We start from the raw sequence: 15,696 nt of genomic DNA on the forward strand, positions 1-15,696 counted from the left end.
TAGTCTGTTCAGGTTTCCTATTTCTTCATGGTTCAATTCTGATAGGTTATGTATATAGGAATTTATTCATTTCGTCTAAGTTTTTCAATTTGTTGGCATATAGTTGTTCATGAGATTCTATAATGATCCTTTGTATTTCTGTGGTTATCAGTTGTAACGTTTTCATCTCTGATTTTATTTATTTGGGTCTTCTCTCTTTTTTCTTAGTCTAGCCAAAGGTTTGTTGATTTTCATATTTAAAAAAAACCAACTTTTAAATTCATTGATTTTTTAAGTCAGCTTATCTTTACTTAAAACAAAAGTCAGTGTTTCTGTAACATGCTTTCAAATAGATGTCAAATATTAACTTTGTACTTTGTATTTCCATAATTACAAATCTCACTCTGAACAAATCATGGCTCTCAGTGATATATCAGCATCTTCTGCAAAAGTTTTATATAACTATGTAATTAATGAAGGAACAAACAATTATTGTAACAGTTTTGAAGAAATATTATTTTATGATAGTAATAATTCTTCTTACAAAAATACTTCTGTTTGAAACTCTACATAATACACAATAAGGTCCCGGAATATGTAATTAATAGCAATAGTTTCAGGGTGATCTTTTGTAATTTTTTTTAGTCTCAAATTCATTCATTTCTGCTCTGATCTTTATTATTTCTTTCCTTCTACTAATATATTGGCCAGGCTGGTCTCAAACTCCTGACCTTGTGATCCACCCGCCTCAGCCTCCCAAAGTGCTAGGATTACAGGCATGAGCCACCACACTCAACCGGGATTTTCTTTTCTATTGCACTGTCCGGCTGCAAATTTTCTGAACTTTCATGCTTTGCTTCCCTTATAAAACTGAATATCTTTAACAGCACCCAAGTCACCTAAGTGCTTTGCTGCTTAGAAATTTCTTCCACCAGATACCCTAAATCATCTCTCTCAAGTTCAAAGTTCCACAAATCTCTAGGGCAGGTGAAAAATGCCACTGGCTCTTTTCTAAAACATAACAAGAGGCATCTTTGCTCCAGTTCCCAACAAGTTCCTCATTTCCATCTGAGACCACCTCAGCCTGGGCTTTGTTGTCCATATCACCTTCAGCATTTTGGGCAAAGAATTTTGGGCAAAATTTCTCTAGGAAATTCCAAACTTTCCCACATTTCCTGTCTTCTTCTGAGCCCTCCAAACTGTTGCAACCCCTGCCTATTACCCGGTTCCAAAGTCACTTCCACATTTTCAGGTATCTATGGCAGCAACACAATCTACTGGTACCAATTTACAGTGTAAGTGTTCACACTGCTGGTAAAGACATACCCAAGACTGGAAGAAAAAGAGATTTAATGGACTCACAGCTCCACATGGCTAGGGAGGCCTCACAATCATGACAGAAGGCAAGGAAGGGCAAGTCATATTTTACATGGATGGCAGCAGGCAAAACGACTCCCTGAAATTATTTAAGTCAGTTATTCTGAATAATTTTTTTTTTTTGGAGACAGAGTCTTGTTCTATTACCCAGGCTGATGTGTAGTGGCACAATCTTGGCTCACTGCAACCTTTGCCTCCTGGGTTCAAGTGATTCTCCTGCCTCGGCCTCCTGAGTAGCTGGAACTATAGGTGCCTACCACCACAACTGGCTAATTTTTGTACTTTTAGTAGAGACTGGGTTTTACCATGTTGGCCAAGCTGGTCTCAAACTCCTGACCTCAAGCAATCTGCCCACCTCAGACTCCCAAAGTGCTAGGATTACAGGCATGAGCCACCATGCCTGGCCTTATTCTGAATTCTTTATCAGACATTTCATAGATCTTCAATGCTTCTGGGTCCACTGCTAGAGCTTTGTTAGTATTTTTTGGTGGTATTAAATCTCCCTGAGTTTTCACAATCCTTGTGTCTTTTTGTTGATGCCTGCACATTTAAGGAGAGAGCTACCTCTCCTAGTTTTTACAGGTGTTCTTTCGTGGTGTTAGACCTTTACTTCTTCATATCGGAACTTAAACGCTGGCTTGTCATCGTTTCCCATTCTGCGCAGAACTTGTAGGGAGCATCAGAACTAAAACTTTACCCCAGAACTATATTGCTGTCCCGTTATTGCTTCCTAATCTAGGAAAAACATAAATGGGCACCAGAACTTAATCCCAGCCTTTTAGTTATTTCTAGGTCAGGGGAAGGCTTGATTCAAATGCCTAGGCTTTGTGGAAAATGCAGCTAGGTATTCCAGCCTTTCCATGAACTGTACCCCTTGCAGCACTATGGCACTGGCCTGTCTCTTCAACATGGTGTCCCTGCTGATTGGAGAGCTAAAGAGCCACCAAGATCTGCACACCAGTCACTGTGCTCAGTGCCCCTGTGTGCCCCCAATTCACCCCCAGATGGTACAACCCTCCTGGTGTTCCCCATGGTTCCTATGGAGTGCATCTGGAGTAGGCTTCTCACAAAGATTCCAGACCAGTGGCAAAAATGAATGTCCACCTCCAATTCCCTCCTATCACCCTATAAGCCATAGGTCTAGAAAAATTCTCTGTGAGTGGCATTATGCCAGCTTGGGGAAGGAAGTGGCACAGACTGAAACGACCTTTTCTCTTACCAGTCATGGCTTATCTCGATCCTGTGAGTCTATGGGGTTTCTCAGCTTCTCCTCCAAGTTCTGGTATATTCAGGGTGGTATTCTTGTTTTTAAACATTTCTAGTTGTATTTTTGTAGGGAGAGTGATGCCAGAGGATCTTCTATTCTGCTGCTTGGCTGACATCACCTTGCTTTCTGTAACTTTTCTACTTTATAAACTTTTTACATTTTTTTAACTTTTTGCTTCTTTTTAATAACACATAGCTTAAAACACAAATACAGGTTCAGCTTTACAAAAATATTTTATCTCTTTATATCCTTATTCTATAAGCTTTTTTCTATTTTTCAGTTCTTTTACTCATTTATTTTTTTACTTTTTAAACTTTCTTGTTAAAAACTAAGACACATACACACACATTAGTCTAGGTCTACACAGGATAAGGATCATCAATATCACTGTCTTCCTCCTCCACATTTTGTTCCTCTGGAAGGTCTTCAGGGGCAATAACAAGCACGGAGCTGTCATCTCCTATGATAAAAATGCCTTCTTCTGGATACCTCCTGAAGGACCTGCCTGAGGCTGCTTAACAGTTAACTTTTTTTAATAAGTGAAAAGAGGAGACTCTAAAATAACAAAGAGTATAATATATGCTGGGTGATGGCTCATGTCTATAATCCCAACACTTTGGGAGGCCAAGGCAGAAGGATCGCTTGAGCCCAGGAGTTCAGGAGCTGCCTGGGCCATACAGTGAGACCTTGTCTCCACATAAAAAAAAAAAACTTAAATTAGCCAGGCATGTGGCACACACCTGTAGTCCCAGATACTCAGGAAGCTGAGGCAGGAGGATCACTTGAATCCAGGAGTTCAAGGCTGCAGAGTAAGCTATGCTGAAGCCACTGTACTCTAGCGTGGGTAACAGAGGGAGACTCCGTCTCCAAAAATAAAATATATATATATATATATATATATATATATGGTGTATATATATATATATATATATATGGTGTGTATATATATATGATATATATGATATATATATCATATATATAAGTAAATATATAAACCAGTAACATAATTGCTTATTATTATCTAGCATTATGTACTTTACATAAGTATATGTCCCACACTTTTATACAACTGGAAGTACAGTAAGTTTGGTTACAATAGCATCACCAAAAACACCTGAGTGATGTGTTGCCTTACAATGTTACAACACCTACAATGTTGCTAGGCAACAGGAATTCTTTAGCTCCATTATAATCATATGGGACCACCACTGTATACGTGATCCATCACTGACCAAAATGTTGTTATACGCTATACGACTGTATATTTTAAGGCTATCAAAATCAAAACAGCATGGTACTAGCATAAAAATAGACACACTGACCAATGGAACAGGACAGAAATCCCAGAAGCCCACACATTAATAGTCAACTGATGTTTTTTTTTACAAAGGTGCCAAGAACACACAATGGGAAATGGACACCCTCTTTAATAAATGGTGCTGGAAAAAATGAACATCCACATGCAGAAGAATGAAACTGCATCTTTATCTCATACCATATATAAAAATCAACTCCAAATGGATTAAAGACTTAAATATAAGACCCGAAACTATAAAGCTACTAGAAGAAAACACAGAGGTTAAGCTCCATGACATTAGACTAGGCAATGATTTTTTGGATATGACCCCAAAGACACAGACAAAAACAGACAAGTGGGATGGCATCCACCTAAAAAGCTTCTGCAGAGCAAAGGAAACAGATTAACAAAGTGAAGGGACAACTCACAGAGTAGGAGAAAATATTTACAAACCATATATCTGAAAAGGGATTAATATCCAAAATATGTAAGGAACTCAAACAACTCAATAGCAAGAAAACAAATAACCTGATCAAAAAATGAGTGAATTGGCCAGGTGTGGTGGCTCACACCTGTAATCCCAGCACTTTGGGAGGGTGAGGCAGGTGGACTACGAGGTCAGGAGATCAAGACCATCCTGGCTAACACAGTGAAACCCCGTCTCTATTAAAAATACAAAAAATTAGCCAAGCATGGTGGCATGCACCTGTAGTCCCAGCTACTGGGGAGGCTGAGGCAGGAGAATCGCTTGAATCCGGGAGGTTGAGGGTACAGTGATCCCAGATCACGCCACTGCACTCCAGCCTGGGCAACAGAGTGAGACTCCATCTCAAAAAAAAAAAAAAAAAAAAGAGTGAATGACCTGAACAGACATTTCTACAAAGACATACAAACAGCCAGCTAGTTCATGAAAACAATGTTCAATATCACTAATTATCAGATAAATGCAAATTAAAAATACTATGAGATGATATCACCTCATACCTGTTAGAATGGCTGTTATCAAAAAGATGAAAGATAAGTGTTAGTGAGGATGCAGAGAAAGGGAATACTTGTACACTGTTAGTAGGGATGTAAATTAGTACAGCTATTATAAAAAACGGTATGGAGATTCCTCAAAAAAACTAAAAACATCACTACTATATGATTCAGCAATCTCACTGCTGCGTACATACCCAAAGGAACCAAAATCCATATGTCAGAAGGAGATCTGCACTGCCATGTTCACTGCAACACTACTCACAATAGCCAAGATGTGGAAACAACCTTGGTGCCCATCAACAGATGAATGGATAAAAAATGTGATATATATACACAATGGAATACTATTCAGCCTTTTTTAGAAGGAAATCCTGTCATTTGCAACAATGTGGATAAGCCTGGGGGACATTATGTTAACTGAAATGAGCCAAGCACAGAAAGACAGAGGACCTCTCTCTCATAGGGCTGTAGGGGATCTTTTTTCTCTTCAGCCAGGGTTGGAGGCCAAGATGGCCCTTGAGAATCATCATCATGACTGCTGAGAGCTGGGCAGCCTTGTTTACCTCCCTTGGGCATTTGAAAAAAAAAAGACAAATACCACACCATCTTACTTGTATGTAGAATCTAAAAGAGTCAAACTCATAGAAGTAGAGTGTAGAATGATGATTACCAGAGGCTGAGGGGAATAGGAGGGAAGGAATGGAAAGCTGCTGGTCAAAGGGTAGACAAGAGGAATGTTTTGAGATCTATTGCACAGCAGGGTGACTATAGTCAGTAATAGCATATTGCACGTTTAAAAATAATTAAGAAACTGGCTGGGCACTGTGGCTCCCACCTGTAATCCTAGCACACTAGGAGACTGAGGTGAGTGGATTGCCTGAGCCCAGGAGTTCAAGACCAGCCTGGGCAACATGGCAAAACCCCCATCTCTACTAAAAACACAAAAAGTAGCTGGGTGTGGTGGTGAGCGCCTGTAATCCCAGTTACTCGGGAGGCTGAGGTGAGAGAATCACTTGAATCTGGGAGGCAGAGCTTGTGGGGAGCTGAGATTGAGCCATTGCACTCCAGCCTGGGTGACAGAGCGAGACTCCATCTTAAAATAAAATAAAAATAAAAATAACAATAATAAAGAAAGTAAATTTTAATTATCTTACCACAAAAAAAAGTGAGGTGATGAATATGTTAATTAGCTTGATTTAATCACTCCATGCTGTGTGCATGTATCAAAACATCACATTCTACTCCATAAATGTATACAATTATGATGTCAATTAAAAATAATAAGTTTTTTAAAAACAAGAAGGGAAAAGTACCTAAAAAACAGTAAAAATAAAAATGCCATAAGAAGTCAGAAGAAAAAGAAGTAACTTCCAGCTAGGGTGATCAGAGAAGACACCAAGATCAAATGTTAACATCTGAAATGGGCCTGGATTTGGGCAGTCTAAGAAGGAGGTGAACAGATTGTAAGGCAAGAGAAGCAATGTAAGTGAAGGTGGGCACATAAGAAAGCACCCACGATCATCCAGAAGTTCTGTTGGCCAAGAGAGTACCTCAGAAATAGGAGTAAAGTTGAAGTAGAATATTGAGACTAGGGCCAGTTGGGGAGGGCCTGACCATAAGGCTAAGAAGTCTGGATTTTATCGGGTAATTGGGGAGCTGGTAAAGATTTCTGAGCAGAAAAAAGCGTCATCAAAGTTGTGCTTTAGAAAGATCAATCTAGCAGTAATTGAAGTAACTGAACATCAATCAAATGCAGATGATATAGCACAGTGAGTATAATGTAAGCCTGCAGGAATTCAGGAATTCATTTATAAAAATGTAATTTATATGCATCTTTTCAGTAACACAGCTCTATAAACTGTCTTGCTCATAGACTAGTACCTAATTATATAAGCATCTAAAAAGGTCATAAGTACTATAAAATGATATCACAAAACCTCTTGCCTCTGCCTGGAAATCCTTCCACCCCCTTTCCCTTCCAGTAAACTCCTTATCCTGTAGACTTCAGTTTAAATGTCACTTCTTCAGAAAGGCTTTTTTTAAATCACTTATCCAAATTGGGTCCCCTTGTTTTTCTCTTTCAAAGGAACTTGTACACTTTCTTCATAGCACTTATCACAGTTTATAAGTATATATTTTGGTCACTAATTAATTAAAGTCTATTTCCCCCACTAGACTGTGAGGGGAAAGACTGTATTTTTGCTCATCATTATATTCTCCAGAGCCTAAAATGATGTAACACATATTAGGCACCTAACAAATATTTGTTCTATGAAGAATGAATGAATGAAGAAGAGAAGAACAGATTTTAGGGTCACCATAGTAATGCCCCTCTTTGCTAGATGCACTTGCTATTGACTAAGATACTTTCTTTCAAAGAGAAAATTAAAAGAAACCTTAAACCAGGCATGGTGTCTCATGCCTGTAATCCCAACACTTTGGGAGGCCAAAGCAGGAGGATCACTTGAGCCCAGGGGTTCAAGACCAGCCTGGGCAACATAGTGAGACCTCATCTCTATAAAAAATAAACAAATTAGCTGGCCATCATGGTGCATGCCTGTGGTCCCAGCTACTTGGGAGGCTGAGGTAGGAGGATCACTGGAGCCTGGGAGGTCAAGGCGGCAGTGAGCCTTGATTGTGCCACTGCACTCCACCGTAGGCAACAGAGGGGGACCTTGTGGGGAAGGGAAGGGGAGGGGAGGGGAGGGGAGGGGAGGGGAGGAGAGAAGAGGAGAGGGAGGAGGAGGAGAAAAGAAAGAGGGAGGCAAGGAGGGAGGGAGGAAAGAAGGATGGAAGGAAGGAAGGAAGGAAGGAAAAAAGGAGGGGAAAAAGGAAGTCAGGAAGTCTTAAATTTCAACTTAAAGCTGAATTCTTACGTGCCAAAATCAGAATAAAAACCTGTACTTACACAAGGAAAACCTTAAAGCAAATACTCAAGTCAAAATATACATTCCTATCTCTCATATTTTTACAGAAATAATTCCTAGTGCAACTACTAAGTGAACTAGAATAAGGAACGGAACCTGGACACAAGAAAGCATTATAAGTCAGATGTAAAGAAGGCAATTATAGACTTGTAACTCCTTTATTCATGTATATCATGTTAGAACCTCAAAAAGGAACTTCAGCATTCAATGAAAGATTTTTACTTCAACCTATATCATCACTGGAGTAGAAAAAAACCCTCAAAAAAGATAACTAAGCTTTGAAAAAAAAAAAGTAATTCACTTCCAAATAATAAATACTTGGTTTTCAATCACATGCTGTTTATACCTATGTACTTACTTCATGCCACAAACTTGGTGCAAGGCTTTCTTCATATAATAATAAACATGGACGATTAGCAATGTAATGAACCTTAAGTCACAGAAGTCTAGAGAAGTCCAAAGGAGTTCAACATGAGGCATTTGGGACCTTATCTCAAGATGCAGCCCTTCACAAAAATTTAACTTAGAAAAATCACTCAATTCACTAGGACACATGAAGCCCTAACCAACTGCCAACAAGGAACTAGAGAAGTTGGTTTAAAATCAGAAATGTTGAGCTAACTTGGTACAATGGATTACCTGCAAAAAAAGGAAAAATAAGATTTCCATCATTCATTTGTTTGCAGGGAGCTGTTTAACTATTGCAAATCAGATGCACTACATAAACTTAAAATGAAAAGGAAAAAAGACCAGCATAAATTTGTTCAAAGAGATATAGTCAGTTTCACTATAAGGAAATACCTACATTCCTAAAAATCACTACACTATGCAAAAATGGCACAAACAAGGACTTACGGGGGAAATGTAGCTAGGGACACAAAACTCCAAATCTTTGTCAGTGATACACACACACACACACACACACACACACGAAACCTAATAAAAAATCATAGCATTTTTGTATATGTTAAATGGTTAGGAAACATAAATATATGGCACCTTACCTTGAAAAAAACCTGAAGTTTACTTATAGATATAGGCATTTGAAAGACTGTAGTTTTTGAATTAATCAAGGGTGCCAGAAAGAAGGTTATCTGAAATCAGAAGGAAAGGTGTGACACCAGATGCGGGTGGGTGTGGCTCATAACTTGTGGTGAACTGAGGTAGCTGGTAGATATTCCAGGTATGTACATGTGTCCGTTTTGTGTGTTCCTGCTGGGCTCGGTTCAACTATGTGCTGTATTCTGTGTTCACCTGGTGTTTCTTGCTGACAAAAATCATGGATAACACAAACATGAAATTCACTTATGCTCAAATCGCTTCCTAATATATCAATGGCATTGCAGCAAATTCACGTTTTCAAAACAAGTGTTAATATAGCACAACTGGCTGTGCGGGTATTCAAATTCAAAAAGCTAATGCCAACTGGATACTGCACTCATTTCCCATTCCTCAAAATGTCTTGAGCCCAATGAAATCACAAGATTTTGAAGAATCACAGACTCTCTAATAGAAAACAGCCACAATTTCTAAATAGATTGGTATAATTCACATGGCCAAACCCTAGAAAATGTAGAGGTCCACTTGCCTCCATGAAACTACAACCTCCTTCATAAAATTGCTGCCTCTAAAGCAACAAAACATAAATAGCACTGGTAAATACAGCATTTGATCAAATCTAGTTTTTGCTCAGGAATACAGGATCTTCTCCTGTCATCATGAGCATTATCACTAATATACCTTCTCACATATCCCCAACACCTTCAGCAGCCATATTATGACAACCAAAGCACAAAGCCAACAAAATGGCATAGCCAAGTTCACAAACCTTAGCATTTTTTCCTGCCCCTCATGCTAGTTTCTAGGTTGGTGGCATGACAATCATGTAATAAAAACAGTGTTCACTAACAGACTTCATTTCATCTGGTTTTAATTAAGAAAATATAACCTCTAGGAGAAATGTCTGAACCGCTATTTTTAGCATTTATCAAGTATTATCTGTTCCACAAGCTAAGCTCAGTTTAGTACGTCATGCAAAGTAGGAGCTTCCTAAATCTTTGTTGAACAAACATTAGTTGAACCTACTTGATTTGTTTTACTATTCTACCCCATAATTTTATTCCCAGAATATTAAATTCTATTTTCAAAAGCAACATAGTCACTACCGGTTAAAATATTTTTGTTTGCTTTTAATTACTATAAAATCAGAAAATAATTGCTGTAATAAAAACTGAAAGAGTCCAGAGGGTATAAAATGAAAATAAGAGTCCAGAGCATCTCCATTCTCCATCTCACAGATAATCATTTCCAATGGTTCTGTGTAACATTCTAGAAATTTTCTTTGCATATACACAGCCTAAGTATAAATCACATATGGTTGTAAATAAGCTCATACTATACCTATTCTCAGTAACTTACCCTTTTTCTAAATATTATAGCCTAACCATTTTTTCATTATCCATATATATATTTACACCTCTTTTGTTTTAATGGCTATATAATATTCCAATATATATAAGCATTCTAAATTATTTAACAAGTCCATATCAATAGTCAAGTAAATTGCTTCCAAATGGTTTCTATTACAAATGATGCTATATGCAATAACCTTTTACATATATCTTTGTATACTAAGATGAATATATTTGTAGAATACACTCTTAGCAGTAGCACTGCAGAGATAAATGTGTGAGCATTTATTATTTTGATAAATGTCAGACTGCCCTCAAGAAAGGATATGAGAGTGCATTTTACCACATTCTGTCATTAGATATTTTTGAACTTTTTCATCTTTCTCAATTTGATAAATGAAAAATAGCATCTTATTTTAATTTCTACCTCCTTAATTATAAATGAGGCTAAGTATTTTTTCAAATTTTTTTTCTGTAAAATATCTGTTCATACTGATTTTTTCTCATCTTTTTCTTGTTGACTTATCAGTGATCCCTAAATATTAATGATATCAATCCTCCTTCTGTCAAACATATTGCAATTATTCTCCCCCACTTGGGTATTTGTTCATTGATTCTTATCATGGTGATTTTGTCATGTAAAAGCTTTTAGTTTTTATGAAATCAAATAATTAATCTTTTCTTTTGTGGTCACTAGGTTGAGAGTTATGCTTAGAAAGGCCTTCTCTGCCCCAAGATTATAAAATTATCTGCCCATGTTTTTGCCTTAAAATAATAATAAACAATTGGTAATTTTTACTGAATGCTTACTTCAGGCCAGGCACTGTTCTAAGTACCTGACACACATTATTGTATTTAATCTTCACAACAACCCTAGTAGGTTAGTAGTATCATTACCTCCAAGACACAGATGAAGATTCTACAGCTACTTATGAGAATTAAACTCATCTGAGAATGCATAGCTGCTATGTGGCAGTGCCTAGATTTCAACTGAGACTAGCAGATTCATCAACTACAGGCTGTTATCTACTGACTCTCTCTCCACGAAGATAAATGGGAGTTCAAACTCTTTTACAAACCTCTACCTATTCTCCCTTCCCCTCTTTATATCTGTTACATAAATCCTTTATTCAACATTAATTTTAGAGCCTTTACATTTTCTTCTGTTTTCATACAACGCAGTTATTCAGACTTTACTTGGTCTATTTTTAAATAGATTCCATATGCCCTATCAACCCCTTCCTATCTCTGCTTCTTCATTCCCAAGTTCTTTTTATTTATCACTTAGATGATTAATTTTACTCATGAGGCATTTCTTCAGGGACTAGGTCCTTGAATGTTTGAGAATATTGGTTGTTATCTTTATGCATAAATAAGAGCTTGACCAGGTATTAAATCTGTGGGTCACACTATTCCCTGCCTACACACATTCCACCAAAACTCAGACACTGTTCAACTGCCTCCTGGCTTTGGCTATTACCATGATGTCAGAAGCCAGTCTCATTTTCCCCCTTTCGGTGACTTGCTTTTCCTGTCTGGATGCTTGGCGATTCTTTTTTTTAATCTTGAAGCACAAGTAACTTTACTGTTACATACTTATTTGATATTGATCATCCTGTTTCAGTTCTTTTAGAATTCTGTGTTCTTTGAATCTGCAGATTACTAATCCGTTTAATCTCTGGTGGTCTTTTCCCCATGATATATTTGAAATTATTGTCCATTCGTTCTACTCTCTATCAGGCACACCAATAACACATATGTTGGATCTTCTCTGCCTGTATTATCTACATATCATACAGAATTCCTAGTTGAAAGCCTATGGCATAAGCCTAACTTGAAATAGTTTAGATAAAAAGAATTTATCAGAAAGACAATGCAGTACCTCATATAACTTTAGGAAATGTATAAAGTGTAACTGAGCCTGAGGGATAACTGGAACCACAGACTTGAACGCCACCAGGACTGCTTATCTCAACTAGGGCTATTTTTCTTTTGTCTCTTATTTCTGCTTCAATGTGTTGGCTTGGCTGTCAGTATCATAGACAGACCAATTTCTCCCACAAGGCACAGAACATGGCTGCCAACAGCTATAAAGCCTCACATCCTATGACTGACCACCAGAGAGGGATTGCCTTGCTTTCCTTAACTCCAATTTCTAAAAATTCTATGTTCCCCTTCAATTTCTTTAAGTGAATACAGATGTATTTTTCAAGAATTTGTTTACTAAAATAATTCTTAATCTGAAATGTACTTCATTCTGCATGCTTAGAGTAAAGCAGTTAACTAGCTTTGGTTTGCTAATTTATTAGTTATTCATTTATGTTCATTTGATTCAGTTAACTGCTACATAGCTCATTGTCATTTCTTCTTTCTTCCTCTCCACTTCACTGCAGGTTAGAAATCAAAAGATACTGTCCTCTTGTCTCTCTCTCCTCTCTCTCTCTCTTTCTTTCTCTCTGTCTCCATTTTGAGATATTGCACTGGCTTCCTTGGGGATTTTCCAGGTTTTCCCATGGCGTGTCCCAACACGAAAACCTTACAGGATGGGATACTCATGGCCCCCCACTTTCAGTGAAATCTGCACTCTGTTTACAGTCTAAACAGTGTATAACAGAATTTAGCATCCCCTTTGATTTCATCCATATTTCATTATACTCTTAGATTCTAGTCCATAGCTAGGAACTGAGCCATTTCCTAGTTTCACAGATTTTTTTTTTGTTTGCTTTTCATTCTATTTGTTGATTCTCAATTAGTTTCATGATAAGGAATATGGTTAGTATGGCTTTACTTTTCTGAATATCTTCTGCATTCTTAGAAGTAATAGTTACTATTACAATTCTACTTTGGAAAACTTAAAGTTCATTCATTCATCAAATATGCATAGGATATTAACTATCTGCAAGGCACTTTGGGAGGCACTGAAGATACAGCAATGAAGAAGACAGAAATAGTTCCTACCCTCTTGGAGCTTACATTATAGTGGGGAAAACAGACTATTACTATTTTTAAAAATCACAAGAATAGCAGATCAATAAGTAAGTAAAGGGGTAGCTGTTTAAGCAGAGATTAGAGTCCCCAAGTGTTATGGATTAGATTATTCTAGCTAAAGAATCTCTGAGTTGCTTCTCAGTTCAAGGAGAGGCAAAAGTCTCCTTGAAGCTCACTTTATTTTGTGAAGAGTCACTTAAGTCGCCTCCCATAGTGACAGATTGCAAAAATGAGTAAGTACCCTGTATCTGGGTAAGTAGGGCCTTCCTTGGGCATACAACCTAGAAATAACTATCTTTTTTCTTGGGATACCCATAGGCCTTCTGGGAGTGTTCCTTGGGATTCAAAGTTAGCTGTTGGAGTAAACCTAACATTGCCCTGACCAAAATCTTCTGGCAAGAAGGGATACAAATGGCACCAAAAGAATACTCACTAGGCAGGAGCTGTCTGGGTTGGTGTCCCAAGCTCAATCCAGCCCAGGGGATCATGAGGAAGGGTGACTCTAACCCAGCCTATAACCACCATGACACAAAATTATGCTTTGAGAAACAATGACTAAGTGTATGAACGTAAGTCTGTAGGTATATGAATGTAAAATATAACTTCTACATCTTGGGCAGGTCATCATAAATAATCAGTCCCTTTGGGCTGTGCAGGACCATTCTTCAATAGCAACAGTCTTTATCAGCAACAGCTATATTGTACTTTTCGGATTTCAAGTTCACCCTCCACATGGTACATGAGACTAACCCTTTGGAACCCCCAGTTCTTACATAATACACAAAGTGAAGGAAGAGTCCTCAAGAGTGAGAACTGAATTTCCTGGTAATAAAAACACCTGGAAAATAATGTCACTAACTTAATAATTACAAGAGGTATGACTATATTGGGATTTCCCAGAAAGAGTAACACAAGCAGTGACCTGAAGGACAGCAATCAGTTGGCCAGGGAAAGTGAGGAATGCATTCCAAAAAGAGGAGCCAGGAAGAAACCTGGCAGATTTGAGGAAATTAAAAGGGACCAGTATGGCTGAACTGTGGGGAAAAAAAAGAGCTACATTGCTGTCAGTCAAAGATGGTGAGGTAGACAAGGAGCAATATCTATAGGGCCTCATAAGGTATGTTAAAGATCTGAGGCTCTATCCTACAAGCATGCAAATAAACACTTTTTCAGGAGCGGAGTGGCATAATCAGATTTTTATTTGTAAAATATGACTTTAGGGGCAGGATGTAAGAGAATCAAGAGTGTAAAGTAGCAGGCAGGCCAGCTGGAAAGCTATCTGAAGAAGATGGATGCTAACAGGTGGAAGTAAGTATATAGATTTGGTTGTAGGGAATTTAGGAAATTCCCATCAAATGGCTTCCTTCTCTATGAAATAGCAAATAGAAGAGACAGATGACTTTGGGCATTGATGGATTAAAAACAGAGATGAATAAATTTAATCCCAAAGCCTTATGGAAGAAAGCAGGCACTCTGGCCTTACGCAATTCTGCTGAGCCTGCTCTGCTGAGAAGAGTTTGCCCCTTGTGAATCTGGTGTTACTTTATACTGCTAGGTTAAGAATTCTGTATTATTTTGTCAAAATAAATCAAAGTTTCACCCAAGAGATAAAAAGATATAGAAAGAGAACTTTCCATTTGCTTGCCCTTGTATAGCATGTGAATGTACTCTTCCTAAGTATCACCTTCAAGCAACTTCAGAAGAAAAGACTGAAGGAACTTGGGAAATACTTTTTGCAGTTAACCACAGATGGACCCTGGCTAAACCACAAAAAAGAGGGCCTTATTAAAAGCATTCTTAGCTGATGGACCTTTCACCATTAACCTGTCACTTAGGTCAAAAAACAAAAGATAAATGCTATTCCCCAGGTCTAGCGCCACCATCAACATGGAGGAAATGATGAAAGTCCCAGATTACAGGGGAAATTCAACAACCGGTGCCTTTAGGAGAAGAAAGCTGACATTCTGTCCTCATCCCTTCAAAAACATATCCTAAGCAGAAAGAGATCTAGGATCAAAGCTATCTTTAAAGGACTAAAAGGTCTCAGAAGCACTGCTGCCTGCAGGTGTAAAAATAAAGTGACAAAAGTACACTGACAGACCAAATTAGTGATCCCTAAACTTCCTTTTAGGTTTGCCCACTACTCTTCCTATTATGACTCTAGAAAGCCCTTGAGAGGGCATCTCCGGGAGTGTCATTTATGAGAAACCAAGCCAACAGAGAGAACACCTAGTAAGATAATTAGTGGATTTTAGAAAAGAGGAAAAAAAAATAACAAAGTAGTGAAAGTACAGGAGATGGATTCGCCACCATCTAATCAGCGCTACATGGAGGATATAGGTTTTTCACCATGATTTATAGTCAAAGGTTAAAAAACTTCACATTTTTAACAAAAATACCAACCCCCATCTCCCTGGAAGTTGTAACTCTCTGCTTTTGTTGTAATTGGGGTTTACCCATGGGGTTAAT

The 15,696-nt window shown here is 37.9% G+C and overlaps 1 protein-coding gene and 1 non-coding gene across 52 annotated transcripts in view; one reads left to right on the forward strand and one right to left on the reverse strand.

The window, feature by feature from the left end:
• The window catches only part of STK33 (serine/threonine kinase 33), a 259,405-nt gene that overhangs the window by 214,844 nt on the left and 28,865 nt on the right, over positions 1-15,696 (reverse strand). The window lies entirely within an intron of this gene.
• LOC124900315 (small Cajal body-specific RNA 20) lies at positions 5,349-5,479 on the forward strand. The gene has a single exon (XR_007063009.1).

The sequence above is a fragment of the Homo sapiens genome, chromosome 11 (genome assembly GCF_000001405.40).
Source record: "Homo sapiens chromosome 11, GRCh38.p14 Primary Assembly".
NCBI classification, from domain to species: domain Eukaryota; kingdom Metazoa; phylum Chordata; class Mammalia; order Primates; family Hominidae; genus Homo; species Homo sapiens.